Genomic DNA, 15156 nt, shown 5'->3' on the forward strand with positions numbered 1-15156 from the left:
TGTTGGCCAGGCTGGTCTTGAACTCCTGACCTCAGGTGATCTACCCGCCTCGGCCTCTCAAAGTGCTGGGATTACAGGTGTGAGCCACCGCGCCCGGCCCAGTTACCACCCTTGACCTCCTCATCCTTCCTGACTTCCCCATCATATCTCCTCATTCTGTGGTTTCAGAGCGTAGTTATGACTTTATGTGCATTGGTTACTTTGTCTTCCCCACTAGATAGTGAACTTCACAGTGGCAGGCAGGAGCTCCTGTCTCTCCAAGTGCCTAGCACAGCACCTTGGCATGTACTTGGTCTTCTGTAAATAGTTGGTTGACCAATTCTGATTTTATAGAGAAAAATTATCTTTGAGATGTTTGTTATAATCTATTTATAACAATTACTTGGGTTCAACATTTATACCTTTTTAATTTTTTTTTTTTTTTGAGTCTCGCTCTGTCATCCAGGCTGGAGTGCAGTGGCGCTGTCGCCACTCACTGCAACCTTTACCTCCTGGGTTCAAGCGATTCTCGTGCCTCAGCCTCCCAAATAGCTGGAATTACAGGCATGTGTCACCACGCCCTGCTAATTTTTGTATTTTTAGTAGAGACAGGGTTTCACCATGTTGGCCAGGCTGGTCTCGAACCCCTGACCCCAAGTGATGCACTCATCTTGGCCTCCCAAAGTGCTGGGATTACAGGCATGAGCCACCACGCCTGGCCAAATTCTTATATAAAGAACAGTGTTTCTGAGACTAAGCATGTGAACCTGAGGGAAATTGGGATATTCACGGATGGTTGTGGTCATTGGCATTCTAAATAATTGCTTATAAACTGCAAGCTGTAACAAAGGGAGTTGGCCTTCTCCACACCTGTGCCCTTTACCTCTTCTCTTTCTGAACACATAAGATTTATTGTCACACTGAGAGAACACTTGCTGCAGAGGCTGTACAACAGTCTCTCTAAAATAAAAACAGAGGTGGAAGATCATCCAGGACCTTACAGGGATCCTTACTATCGTCTGACCCAGTGTTAGACCTGTGGAGTGGTGTTGTTCTCTCACTGCCTCCCCTTTAATTCTATTGGGGTGAACTAGCCAAACCATGCAAATGTTCAGTTACTGTTTTCTGTTTAACTAAAACTATATGATTAAATTTTATAGAAAGGCCTCCTCACATTGATGCCAGTCAGTCTCATTCAACTCTCGGGGAGAAGCCGGAAACCCCTTTGCAATTAGATGAGAATGCTGGCTCTCACAGGCTTCATCTGTTCCTCTTCCCACGTGGCTGAAAAGCTGCTAGAAATATTTCTGCAGGCTGACTAAGGATCTGTTTCTCTCCACTTTTTCAGTGTACTGAAGTGGGTGCTGTGCAATTTAAATGTCTTATTTCCAGATCATTTTATTTCCGTCATTCCTATTATGTCTTTGACTCAACAAACCCTAGAATTTGTTTCAGAATTAATCTCAGACTGATATTACATGTCTGAAGGCTTTGTAACAAGAGGTTCGTGTGCTTTCCTAAGCCACAACATACTCTGAAACTTTAGGAATTCAAGGCCGGAAGGTCATTTTTCTCTCTCCTTTCCCTTTCAGTGCTTCTGGTTGCTTCCCGAGAATTCTGATGCAGAGTGGTATTAGCCCACCCCCAGTTAAGAGGAGTGCTCTGAGGGGTTCAGTTCTTCCAAATTATATCTAGGCCTTTCACTTCTCTTTTTTATCTCCTTTTCATCTGAAAAAAAAAAAAATGATTCCAGTCTACCTTAGACATTGTTTAATGAAATAGACCCCCAGAAGCACTTTATTCCTGACATGTTTCTAGTCCCATGATTTTTATAGCATGGTTAGTTTTTGACTCAAGGGGTTGGTTACTTCTCAGCTCAGTCTGCTTAAAAGGATTAAATTACTTGCAGCATAAACTTCTCATTTGCAAAGTTGACTTTTCACATGAATGATTTTCCATCTCAAGAAATTGTTCCTATTTCAAGGACTAAGAAATCCTACTTTATTATAAAGAGATGAAGTAGGTTTCCTAAGGAAGTTCCTATTAACACCAAACCATCTATCTAAATGGTATCATTGTAGTACCTTGTAAAGATTTTTGCTGCCTCTGTTTCTATATAAAATGGAAAGACATGGAGAATAGCCAACAGTAGAAAGATGGCCCTCTACTATAAATTCTTCCTCCTTTTTTCTTTCTCTGTAGTTTCTCTTGATTATATCTAATGGGCTTTAGCCATCATGTAGCATTTCATAAACTTACAAACTTATCTGTGGGCTCTTGAGAAAATGAATGAATTTATTCGATCACCTGGCGTTGGTCATGTGATGGCCATTTAATAAACTTTGAAGCAATAAAAAGACAATTGAAAATGATTGTTTAATCTGTATAGCAAGTTATAGATTCCATGGATGTTGTTTGTCTAACCTGGAGGCCTTTCTTTGTCCTTTCTCCAGCACTTTGTTAGTGAACGTAAATATGATGAGGATCTGGGACGAGTAGCCCGGTTCACCTGTGATGTAGAGACCCTAAAGAAGAGCATTGATTCATTTGGACAAGGTGAGATGGTGAGAGGGTCTGGGCACTACAGGTGGTGATTATTAATTAGAGACTGACGTGCTGATTGTCTTCACCACTGATTCCTCATTAGTGCCTCTTGTTTGCTTGTTTATATGAAAACTAACTCTAGGATGCTTATGAAGTCCATGGGTGCAGATACTTTGAACTCTGAGGACAAGTATTTGCCAGCTCCCTAAATGTGAAAGACTGTTTTTTCATGCCATATTGAGAGGTGCATGATATGTGGTATAAAGAGCATGGGGCCCTACAGTCAGATCAAGTTTGAATCCCTGCCCCTACAGTAACCTCATTTTACTCCTCTCCAGAGTGGAGATAACAGGCCACGCGCCGAGGCTCACATCTATAATCCCAACAACTGGAAAGGCTGAGGCCAGAGGATCACTTTAGCCCAGGAGTTCAAGACCAGCCTGGGCAACATAGCGAGGTTCCATCTCTTCAAAAAATTCAAAAGAAAAAATTAGCCAGGTGTGGTGGCACATGCTTGTAGTCCTAGCTACTCAGGAGGTGGGGTGGGGGTGGGTGAGAGGGGGAAGATAGCTTGAGCCAGGAGTTTGAGGTTCCAGTGAGCTATGATTGCCACTGCACTCCAACCTGGGCACCAGAGCAAGACTGTGTCTCTAAAAAAATTAATAAATAGGAGAAAATAATACTTGTCTTGTCTGGCACATAATAGATCCTTAAATAAAGCATTAAAGGATAGGGGAGTGCCTGTGAGATGAGAGTTTCTAGTGACCTGTTTGTCAAACCCTGAACTCAGCCTCTCTGTTCTTTCTGTCTAGTATAAAAGTGAAATATTGCCAGGCGCGGTGGCTCATGCCTGTAATCCCAGCACTTTGGGAGGCTGAGGCAGGTGAATCATGAGGTCAGGAGATTGAGACCATCCTGGCTAACATGGTGAAACCCCATCTCTACTAAAAAATACAAAAAATTAGCCAGGAGTGGTGGTGGGTGCCTGTAGTCCCAGCTAATCGGGAGGCTGAGGCAGGAGAATGGCGTGAACTCAGGAGGCGGAGTTTGCAGTGAGCTGAGATTGTGCCACTGCACTCCAGCCTGGGTGACAGAGTGAGACTCCGGATCAAAAAAAAAAAAGTGAAATATTTCACCTATGGCAGCAATTATAAACTCATCATTAATCCAGCTTAAAGCCAAGAAAAAAATCTAGAGAGTAGTTTTAAACCACTGGAATTCTAACACAATTTGAACTGAAAATATTAATATTTTTTTCAGTTAGATAGGTACTTTGAATTTGGGATTAATTTTGCAGAAAGAAATTTGGCAATATACATGTTTGTTATAAAGATTAGTTCTATTCATATTTAACTGATCTTGATTATTTATACCTTGTATCATTCAAAATTCTTTAAAAAGAATTTAGTAAAGATTTTATTTATGTACCTTTTTCTTTCTTTGCAAAGGCTGTTCCTTAGAATGTTTCTTGCATAGGAAACTGAACATATGGTCTGTACTATTGTTCCCAGGCTTAGTCAGCTGCTAGAGCCATAGTCAGGAGTTTAGGTAGTACTAGATCCAATCCCAAGAAGTCATTAGTTGGTGGGGAATGGGTAACTTTGATTTTAACTGTTCTCTTGTCTAAGAATTCCTTTACAAAGCAGTGGGGCTTTGGAGGAAGTGGAGGAAGAGGGCAGAAGGGAGATTTTTCTTCCTGTTACCAGTTTTATAGGTTTTTCTTTATTCGAATAGACAGTTCTTTATCTTAAATTGCTCATTGTGAAATTGAGAAAGTAGAAACCTTATCCATTGTGCTGTTCTATCATATGATCATATATTCCTCATATTTCTGTTTCAGTGTCTCATCCAAAGAACAGCTATTCGACCAGATCCCGATGTAGCTCAGTTACATCTGTGTCCTTGAGTAGCCCAAGTGATGCCTCTGCTGCTTCCTCTTCCACCTGTGCCTCTCCTCCCAGCCTTACAAGTGCTAACAAGAAAAACTTTGCACCGGGAGAGACTCCTGCAGCCATAGCAAACTCCAGTGGCCAGCCCTACCAGCCACTTCGGGAGGTAACCTAGCTTCTACACTGAGCATGTTAGGAAGAAAACCCTCCAGATTGTCAAAGCTTAAATGCTGTTAGCTCAGTATATTATCTTCCTCTCTATTCCCATTCCATGCCTGTTTTGAATCCCTCCAACCCAAGTTAGTTCCTGAGAAAGCATTAGATACGTATGTTCCAAACTGCCAGCCAGTTTAGATTTCCTGTTGCCAAGAACTGCTGACTTTCTTGTGTTGGCAGTGATCCCTGCTGTTGTAGATAGTATTGCCTGGTAATTAGTCACACTGGGAGTCGTGCACCCATCTCAAGGTAGACAGGCACCACAAGTGGCAGTTTTACCAGTGTGCATCTGAAAGCAGCAGCTCCCTAGAAGCACAATGTGGAATTTACAGGGAAAGAGAGAGTGAACTGGTGGGGATGGGGGGAAAACACTAGAAAGCTGAGGAGTAATCCATAGGTTCTTCTCCTGTTTGAAGAATAAACACAAGAGCAATCCAAGGCAGTACTGTCAGTAATTCTTCAGAACTGGTATGATGTTTGGAATTGGAGGACAAAAATAAAATCCCATACCGTAAGCTTTCCGGATTATAATGCGAAAGATGTGCTGAATGCCACAGCAGCATACTTTAATCTGTAGTTCATGACATTTAGCAAAGCAGGCCATAGTGATGTTTACTTTATTATTCCAAATGTGTATTATCTTTACCAATGGCCTTTTATCTGCAGAGTTCAGACATAATATAATATACTTGTCCAATCGAGGGCTTGTAACAACCCAGAGAATGTTCTTTCTTCCTTATCTTTCTTCTTGCATCCAGCTAAAGAAAAGTAAATTCTTCAGTGGAGAAGAGCCTGGGCATGAAGAGCAGGGAAAGATGGATTAGTTCTGAAGTAGTGGCTAGGTTGGATTGGCTGAGAGAATTCTTTGAGTCTTGAGAGATAACTGAGTCCCAAGCATGGGATACCACAATTCTGCTTTCAGAATACTCCTGTAAAGTGAACGAATGGGGTACCATAATGCTAGAGCACCTTGAACATTGTATTCTTTCATCTTTAGGTATTGCCAGGGAACAGACGAGGAGGACAGGGCTATAGGCCACAAGGCCAAAAGTCCAATGACCCCATGAACCAAGGGCGGCATGACAGTATGGGTCGTTACAGAAACAGCTCGTGGTATTCATCTGGTTCCAGGTATCAGAGTGCTCCATCTCAGGCACCAGGAAACACCATTGAAAGAGGCCAGACTCACTCTGCAGGGACCAATGGAACTGGAGTCAGCATGGAGCCCAGCCCTCCCACGCCTTCATTCAAAAAGGGGCTCCCCCAGCGCAAACCCAGGACCTCTCAGACTGAAGCCGTGAACTCTTGAGAGAAAATCCAGTTGGCCTCTCTCCTCTATCCACACAATTCAACTTGATAACTGGACTTTAGGAAACTTACAGTTAGATGTAATAACAAAAAGAAGTTTATGCGTATCACTTTTTGTGCCATTCTAAGTATTTTTGGTTTCTTGTCTCCTTATTTCCTCTTTACCATTTTTGGAGGGGAAGCTATTTTTTTTCCTTGATCTTTCCCAGTGATATGGATTGAATCTGGTTGGTCATTTCCACCAGGAATCAGAGGCAGCTGTTACCAGGTTTCGGCCTTCCAGTTGATCCCTCCACTGTCCAGGCTGTCTCAGGAGGAGGTGAATCAGAGCTAGTCTGTCACCTTTCCAATCTAAGCCGAAGCCACAGGTGCCTGACAGGTTCCCTTCTAACAACTATTTGACCAAGAGAGGCAATCAGGGGGTTGTATACTGCACTGGATTCGCCAGAGAAGGGAAAATTTAATTAGTGAAAAGGAAAGAACACTAGGAAACATTTGAGAACCTGCCTCTATCCCAGAATGTGCTGGAGATTTGACACTCAAATCAGTGTTTAGTCTTCTGCTTGGCACCATAGCTTAACCTGCAGTTTCTTCAAAATGCCCAATGCCTTGTTTCCTATTACCTTAGATTGCAAACCAGTCTAGGGAAGTCTATGAGAAAGTAGCATTTAATTAAAGTTTAAAAAAAAAAAGGTTGGGCGTTGTGGCTCATGCCTGTAATCCCAGCACTTTGGGAGGCTGAGGCGGGTGGATCACTAGGTCAGGAGTTCAAGACCAGCCTGGCCAACATGGTGAAACCCTGTCTGTACTAAAAATACAAAAATTAGCTGAGCATGGTGGCGTGTGCCTGTAATCTCAGCTACTCAGGAGGCTGAGGCAGGAGAATCGCTTGAACCCAGGAGGCGGAGGCTGCAGTGAGCTGAGATTGTGCCACTGCACTCCAGCCTGGGAGACAGAGCAAGACTCAGTCTCAAAAAAAAAAAAAAAAGCATTTTTCTGTTTTAATGTTTGGAGACTTTTTTTTTTGTTCTCTCCCTTTCCTGAACCCTATTCTGATCCTGAACCAAATTTATAGCAATATAATTAGTGTTAATCTAAGGCATTACTCATCAAAAAAATTGCTGCAGTCTTTACAGTTGAATAAATAAAAACAACTGCATAAATATGCCCACTTTTGTTTCATAGCAGCAAGTGGTTTCATTTCATTATGTTTTTCTTTGGGCCTCATGGGGGTAGAAGTCACTCAGACAGCTTGTTCCAGGATTAAATGAGGGTATCTGATTCCCAAGTCATTTGTCTGCCACCACTGCGTAGCTTCAGAACCAAATTAAAATATGAAAGCCAGGAAGAGCAAATGCAGTTGTTCCTAGTGAGAAAGGATCATAGGATAGGGAATGGTGACTTTCCAAAGGAGAACTTAACCACTTTAAGAAAACCACAGCTCTCCAGGCTCTCCCAGGTAACCAAAGTTTATAATGGCACTGCTCTCCCCAACTCCCTGTCCCTTGACTGAGTATTGAACGTAACCGTATAATTGAGCTCCTGCGTGTAGCAGGTGGCATGGGTGCCAGACCCTTCCACCCCACACTCACCCCCAGCATCTGTGATTTAATCACAGCAGAGCTTTTCTTTCTCTGGCATGTGTTCTCCCAAGTCTGAAGCCCAGACTGTAAGTGGCAGCCGTGCAGAACGTAGCTGCCTCAGGGCTTCCCTTGCCTCCTTGGCTGAGTGAAGCTGAGCTGCCAGGGTTCAGGTTGGTTGAACACATTCAGAGAGAGTGTGTGTGTCTGTCTGTCTGTCAGTAAAGAAAACAGTAGTCAAGGAGTTCTGGGTATTTTCCAAGAGCACCTCATTTTGGGGAATTTGTCCAACGACACCAACAGCCTGCTGGGTGTCAGGAAAAAGCCCTGCATTTCTGATTAATTGCTTACCTGTACTTTATCAGAAATCCAGAGATTGAAGTGACCTTGAAGGATTATGAGGTCTGTCCCTGTATCCAGGCAAGACCGTACTTAACCACCCAGACAGATGGGACAAGGCATGTTTATCAAAAATGCCTTGAAGTTGAAATTAAAATCTCCTTATAGAAAAATATTTGAAAATTTTTCATGACCACAAAAAGTTTGAAAATTATGAATTAAAAAAGTTTTTATTACGAAAGTAGTATTTAAAATATCAGTACAGAAATATAAAAGGAAAAAAAGTTATCCATCTTTCCACTTCTCAGGGGTAATGACTGTTAATTTGGCATATATCCTTCTACACCTTTTTTCTTTTTAGAAATGGGGTCTCACTGTGTTGCCCAGGCTGGAGTGCAGTAGCTATTTACGGACATGATTAGAAGGGACTCTTGGGCTTAAGCAATCCTCCTGCCTCAGCCTCCTGAGTAGCTGGACTACAGTTGTGCACAATCACTCCTGGTTAGACTGTTTTTAAACCATGTATGTGCATATACACATGAGTATATGGGTTTTTAATTTTTTTTATACAAAGATCATACTGGGCTGGGTGCGGTGGCTCACGCCTGTAATCCCAGCACTTTGGGAGGCTGAGGTGGGTGGATCACCTGAGGTCGGGAGTTCAAGACCAGTCTGACCAACATGGAGAAACCCCATCTCTACTAAAAATGCAAAATCAGCTGGGTGTGGTGGTGCATGCCTGTAATCCCAACTACTCAGGAGGCTGAGGCACGAGAATCACGTGAACCTCGAAGGCGGAGGTTGTGGTGAGCCGAGATCACGCCATTGCACACCAGCCTGGGCAACAAGAGCAAAATTCTGTCTCAGCTAGGCGCGGTGGCTCTTGCCTGTAATCCCAGCACTTTGGGAGGCTGAGGCGGGCAAATCATGAGGTCAGGAGATCGAGACCATCTTGGCCAACATGGTGAAACCCCGTCTCTACTAAAAATACAAAAATTAGCTGGGCATGGTGGCTGGTGCCTGTAATCCCAGCTACTCAGGAGGCTGAGGCAGGAGAATCACTTGAACCAGGAGTCGGAGGTTGCAGTGAGCTGAGATCGCACCACTGCACTCTAGCCTGGCGACAGAGAGAGACTCTCAAAAAAAAAAAAAAAAAACGAAACTGTCTCAAGAAAAAAAAGATCATAGTACTATGTATATTCTGTAGTTTTTTAAATAATATGTGTAAACTATAATTCATTTAGGATCTCATGCTGTGGATCTTCTCCTAAATTTGCCAATTTGACTCTTCTTCAATGAGAAGTTAGGTTTATCCTAAGTTTGAATTGTGTAGCCCATTCCTCATTGCCCATAGTGGTTCTAGGCTTCCCAAAAGAAGGAAGATACATCCCCTGGGCAGTTACCACTGGTGCACCAAGAGGCCTTACCTAACCATTGTTTGTCCTTCTCTTTCCACTTCCTCTTTCAGACAAATGTCTCACCCTGCCCAACTTAAGAGATAGGACTGCAACTTTAAGTTGTTTAGCTCTGCCAGTTACATGACACTTGAGAGGCAAAATTTAAATTAGCATGGCTTCATTATGAACATCATATATTTCCTATGCCCCTAATTTATGGCGATTTAAAAAAAATGTGCTTTTAAACAAAAGTGCAGACCAGCTTTTTTTTTTTTTTTTTTTTTTTTTTTTTTAAAAAAAAGGGACCGGGCTGGGCGCGGTGGCTCACGCCTGTAATACCAGTACTTTGGGAGCCCAGGCGGGCAGATCACAAGGTCAGGAAATCGAGACGAGACCATCATGGCTAACACAGTGAAACCCCGTCTCTACTAAAAAATAGAAAAAATTAGCCGGGCGTGGTGGCGGGCGCCTGTAGTCCTAGCTACTCGGGAGGCTGAGGCAGGAGAATGGCGTGAACCCGGGAGGCGGAGCTTGCAGTGAGCCGAGATCTTGCCACTGCACTCCAGCCTGGGCGACAGAGCGAGACTCCGTCTCACAAAAAAAAAGGCGGGGGACAGGGTGCGGTGGCTCACGCCTGTAATCCCAGCACTTTGGGAGGCCGAAGCTGGCAGATCACCTGAGGTCAGGAGTTTTCAGACCAGCTTGGACAACATGGTGAAACCCCGTCTCCACTAAAAATACAAAAAAAATTAGCCGGGCATGGTGGCGGGTGCCTGTAATCCCAGCTACTTGGGAGGCTGAGGCAGGAGAATCTCTTGAACCCGGGAGGCGGAGGTTGCAGTGAGCTGAGATCGCGCCACTGCACTCCAGCCTGGACAACACAGTGAGACTCGGTCTCAAAACAAAAACAAACACAAAAAAGGGTACATAGTAGAAATTTAAAAGTTTTCTCTACCTTGTCCCACTCCCCCGAAGAAATCGCTGGTTTCTTACATGTCTTTCCAGAAACTTTCTAAACCCAAACATAGAAGTACCTTTTCTTTCTTTTGCATAAATGGGATTCATACTGTGCATACCCTTATACAAGTTGCTTTTTTCACTTGTCCTCACTTTTTGTAACTCATTTTTTTGTTTTGTTTTAAGAAAAATCAAGTATATTTCTACTTACTGACGTGGATGGAGGTCTACGAGGTATAGACCTCTGTTCTGTGGCTGCATAGTATTCCATTGTATAAGTTTGTTATTATTAGTTTAACCAGTCCCTAATGATGGTTTTCAGTTTTCTGCTATTACAAGTATTGCTGCAATGAGCATTCCATAATGCATATATCATTCCTCACTTGAGAGAATATCCCTGTAGGATAAATTCCTAGGAGTGGAATTACTAGGTCATATAGTTATTGATAAAGTATTATTTTGATAAAGTTGCACGGATTCACACATGCAACTTATTTATTTAGAGATATGGACTCTCTGTCACCCAGGCTGGACTGCGGTGGTGGGATCATAGCTCACTGCAGCCTCAAACTCCTGGGCTCAAGGGATCCTCCTGCCTCAGCCTTCCAAGTAGCTGGGACTACAGGTGCATGCCACCACAACTGTCTAATTTTTTATTTTTATTTTTTGTAGAGATATGGTCTTGCTTTGTTGCCTAGGCTGGTCTCGAACTCTTAGCCTCAAGCAGTCCTCCCACCTTGGCCTGCCAAAGTGCTGGGATTACAGGTGTGAGCCACTACACCCAGCCACCAGGTTTACATTTTCTACCAGTGTTTGGCAATGCTTTGTACAGTTGCTGAGCCAGAAGCTAAGGAGAGAAACAATCCCTGACTTCACATGGCTGATAAACCAGTTGATGCAACTGAGAATACCAATAAATAATACAAGGAAATAGTGTTGCTTGAAAGTGCCATGCTGTCTTCGAGGTGGAGGGAGCACAGCCGAAAGGGCTGGGTCCCATGCTTGAGCCAGAACTATACCAGCATATGATCAGGCAGTTGTGCAGTGGTGTATGGAGATAGTGACATTCCATTATATTTCAGAATCCCAAACCAGGGTACAGTCTTGTGAGTATGAATGTATGTATGGGAGGGAATAGGATAAACTAGTTGAAGTTAGGAGTGACCCGGAAAATTCGGGATGCATGTCACTCATCTTTGTACTAACCCGTTCTCTTGGAGAAGGTCAGTAGAATAATGTCTTGTTGCCCCTGAAAATTCTACCATCTGACCCAAGAAAATGAGGTTCTGTCTTCCCTGATTTGTAGGGTTCATCCCACCTTCTGGTCCCATTTGGTGAGGATTGTATCCTTATGGCAGCACATTTCTTGGAAGAAACAGGTATACATGCTGGGAGGCTGCCAACTGATACAAGAAACTATTTTATCACTAGTTTAACCAACGAGTTCAAAGTACCGGCTCACAATGCTGGTAGCCAGAACAACATACTATAAAATCAAGTTTCTGGTTGTTGTAGCCACTTGGGCACATTTTCTCTCCATCATACATTGAGGTACCTACTGTGTGCTAGGCACTCTGCTGAGTTCTGAGCCAGAAACTATTCTAGCTCATTCTTCTTCTTTTTTTTTTTAATCTATATTTTTTGACACAGGGTCTCACTCTGTCACCCAGGCTGGAGTGCAGTGGGGCCATCTCAGTTCACTGCAACCTCTGCCGCCCTGGTTGAAGCAATTCTCTTGCCTCAGCCTCCTGAGTAGCTGGGATTACAGGTGCCTGCCACCACACTCAGCTAATTTTTGTATTTTTGGTAGAGACGGGGTTTCACCATGTTGGCCAGGCTAGTCTCAAACTCCTGACCTCAGGTGATTTGCCTGCCTCAGCCTCCCAAAGTGCTAGGATTACAGGCATGAGCCACCAGGCCCAGCCCTAGCTCATTCTTCAACTGCTTTGCAGGTAAAGGAAGTAGAGCTCGTCCTTAAACCCTTGGGAGCCCTGCCTGTTGGCCAGGCAGTGTGGTAGAGTATAAAGATTCAACTTGGATTTTAATTCTGGCTTCACAGCTTGGTAGCTGTGTGACCGACTGCCCTTGGACAGATAACAGCTTTGAACCTCTTTCTGAACTGTGAAGTGGGACAATGGTAACGACTTTATGAGACATCTAGCCAGGTGCTACAAAACAGTGCCCTGCGTGTCTAGGCTAACCCATGACAAGTTGAATGTTCACTCCCCATAGCCCCTTTCCTTTTCTGTCTGTCCTGCTTTGTTGAAAAGTATATGAAAGAAGACTTCCCCTATATCCAGCCAGACAGACCTTATTAATCACAAAAATACTAAAAATCCAGCTATCCTATTCCTTCTGTAAATTTTCTTCCTGAGTGCATGCCCCTCCAGCATGGTGAGCCCTGTGCCCCTCTTGTCTGTCTGCCATACCTATCAGAAAATGCACCCCTACCCCAGTTTCAGAGCTACGTGGGTGTGGCAGGCAGATGCTGATGGAGCTGACCTCGGCTAACACAGTAACCATTGCAGCAGCACACAGGTGAAGCTGGGGCCAGGGTTTCCCAGGGGAAAGTCAGGGAACATTATTTCCATACAGGTGATGAGGGAGTTTTATTACCTACCTTGATACTCAGTTCCAAGGAGGAAACTATCCAAAAAAGATGCTTCTGGGTTAAGAAACTCACCCAGCAGCACAACTATTCTCCTGCCTGTCCCTTCACTGCTGTCAAAACAGCAGGAACAAATACCACCCACTCCAATTCCTTAGGGAAAAGTCAGGTCTCCTTTTTATGTCTCTTCAATTTAACCGAGTTAGGCTTTCTCTGTAACTCGATTTCAGACACACCTGTTTTCTGGTGCTGCTAGAACACACGGATTGAGAGGATGAGATTTCTCAGGAGGCTGGGCACATACTCCCTCGCCAACTCCGGCAGGGCTATGTTGGCCACCTTCCCTTCGGGTCCTGCAGTTAACTGCAGTGTCTCACCTGGCGTGGAGTCCAGGTGTTGTTCACAATGGGCATTCACCACAGGTCACTGACCATCTGTCAGAAATAACCATGCCGTTCCCTTTTCATAGGCTGTTTACCAAAGGAGAAGACAAAGTGGCCGCACTGCATGGCATAGTCCTGAATTGCCGTCATCCTAGTCAAATCTTGGTTCAGACCTGATTCTTTTTCTTACTAGCCAAGCAATATGGGCCAGTTTCTTTATCTGTAAACACAACTCTGTGCCTCCCAGGTTTCCCTTGTTTGAAAGTTGATTGTGGGCCGGGCGCAGTGGCTCACACCTGTAATCCCAGCACTTTGGGAGGCCGAGGCAGGCGGATCACCTGAGGTCGGGAGTTCAAGGCCAGCCGGGCCAACATGGTGAAACCCCGTCTCTACTAAAAATAAAAAAATTAGCTGGGCGTGGTGGCACATGCCTGTAATCCCAGCTACTCAGGAGGTTGAGACAGGAGACTCACTTGAACCTGGGAGGCGGAGGTTGCAATGAGCCGAGATCACACCATTCAACTCCAGCCTGGGCCACAAGAGCAAGACTCCATCTCAAAAAAAAAAAAAAAAAAGTTGATTGTGGTCTGTTCCCACTCTACTCTAGCCAGGGTCTTCCACTAAAAGAAAAGGAATCTCCTAGAATGAGACAGCCAAGGTGTGGCCAAATACTAGAGGCCTCAAAGAATTCCAAAATGTTTTATTTTGGTGGGGAGGGGGAACCCTCAGGCTTCATCCTGAGCTCATTTCCCTGGTCCCAGCACCGAGGGCCAGAGATTGGTTGTGGTGGTTGTTGTTGTTGTTGTTGTTGTTGTTGTTGTTGTTGTTGTTGAGACAGAGTCTGGCTCTGTCGCCCAGGCTGGAGTGTAGTAGCACGATCTCAGTTTACTGCAACCTCCACCTCCTGGGTTCAAGCAACTCTCCTGCCTCAGCCTCCGGAGTAGCTGGGATTACAGGCGTGTACCACCATGCCCTGTTAATTTTTGTATTTTTAGTAGAGATGGGGTTTCACCATGTTGGCCAGGCTGGCCTTGAACACCTGATCTCAAGTGATCCGCCCACCTCGGCCTCCCAAAGTGTTGGGATTATAGGCGTGAACCACTGTGCCCGGCCAGGCCAGGGCTTTTTAAAAATAACAGCTGGCTAAGGTTCATTTCACAAATCAAAAGACCCGATGCTCTGCAAGATAAAGTACCTCTGCACACCCTGGGTCTCCCAGCTGGCCAGTGGCAGAGCTAGATTGGAACCCCAACTAGTCTGACTTGAAAGCCCAAGATTTTCCCACCATACAACACACCTTAGAAGCAGAGCCTGGCCTTGCTGGCTGAGAGCCAGGCTCAGGCCTGGGGACCTCCAGAGAGGAAGGTGGAGAGAGTGGGAAGAGACGGGGAGAGGGGAGGGGCCCCTGGGCTCTGTTCCTCGACAGCCGCCTATTCCCACTCCCTGAGCACAGTGTCTGACTCCGCCTGCGCTTTGTGGTTGCGGGGTAGGGGGACTTTTTCCATCCTTTGTGTCTTGAGCGGTTTTTTCCTTGCTTTGCGCTTCCCTACTGTCTCTCCATATTCCTTTTTGTAGCTAATACTCCCACAGGCCTCCCACGGCAGCTCCAAAATGCAGCCTCCCGAGTTTCTTGTTGACAGAGGCTTTGAGCATCTCTGAACAGGGATCCTCCTCAACATTCCCCTCCCTGTGACTCCCCACCACGGCCAAATGCGTCAAGAGCTGGCGGAAGGGGAGAGGAAAAGGAGTTACAGTGAGGAGGACTATGGTGCCCATCTCCCAGGGCCCTGCTCAATTTTCAACTCCCCAATGCCCGTCTTACTCTCTCCTAAATGTGGGTCCCTGCCCTTTGTGCATGTGGGTTGGGGGCTGGAGGAAAGATGGAAGGAAAAGATAGGGAATTAAAAGAATAAAAGAGGACCAAGCAAGGTGGCTCATGCCTGTAATCCCAGCATT

At 44.8% G+C, this 15156-nt stretch overlaps 1 protein-coding gene across 16 annotated transcripts in view; it reads left to right on the forward strand.

Moving 5' to 3' along the window:
* Positions 1-7107, forward strand: part of SPATS2 (spermatogenesis associated serine rich 2) — a 160574-nt gene extending 153467 nt beyond the window's left edge. For 13 of the 16 annotated variants that reach the window (NR_120663.2, XM_047429409.1, XM_011538691.4 and 10 more), the window contains 3 exons: positions 2433-2535; positions 4364-4578; positions 5626-7107. Coding sequence is in view for 15 of the 16 variants with exons in the window: in XM_047429409.1 (XP_047285365.1) it covers positions 2433-2535; positions 4364-4578; positions 5626-5937 (630 nt within the window). In the remaining variant the exon portion in view is untranslated. The remainder of the gene's footprint in view (positions 1-2432; positions 2536-4363; positions 4579-5625) is intronic. The other 3 variants (XM_047429412.1, XM_017019840.3, XM_024449135.2) reach the window with 1 other exon arrangement.
* The last annotated feature ends 8049 nt before the right edge of the window (positions 7108-15156 follow it).

The sequence above is a fragment of the Homo sapiens genome, chromosome 12 (assembly GCF_000001405.40).
Source record: "Homo sapiens chromosome 12, GRCh38.p14 Primary Assembly".
Taxonomy (NCBI): domain Eukaryota; kingdom Metazoa; phylum Chordata; class Mammalia; order Primates; family Hominidae; genus Homo; species Homo sapiens.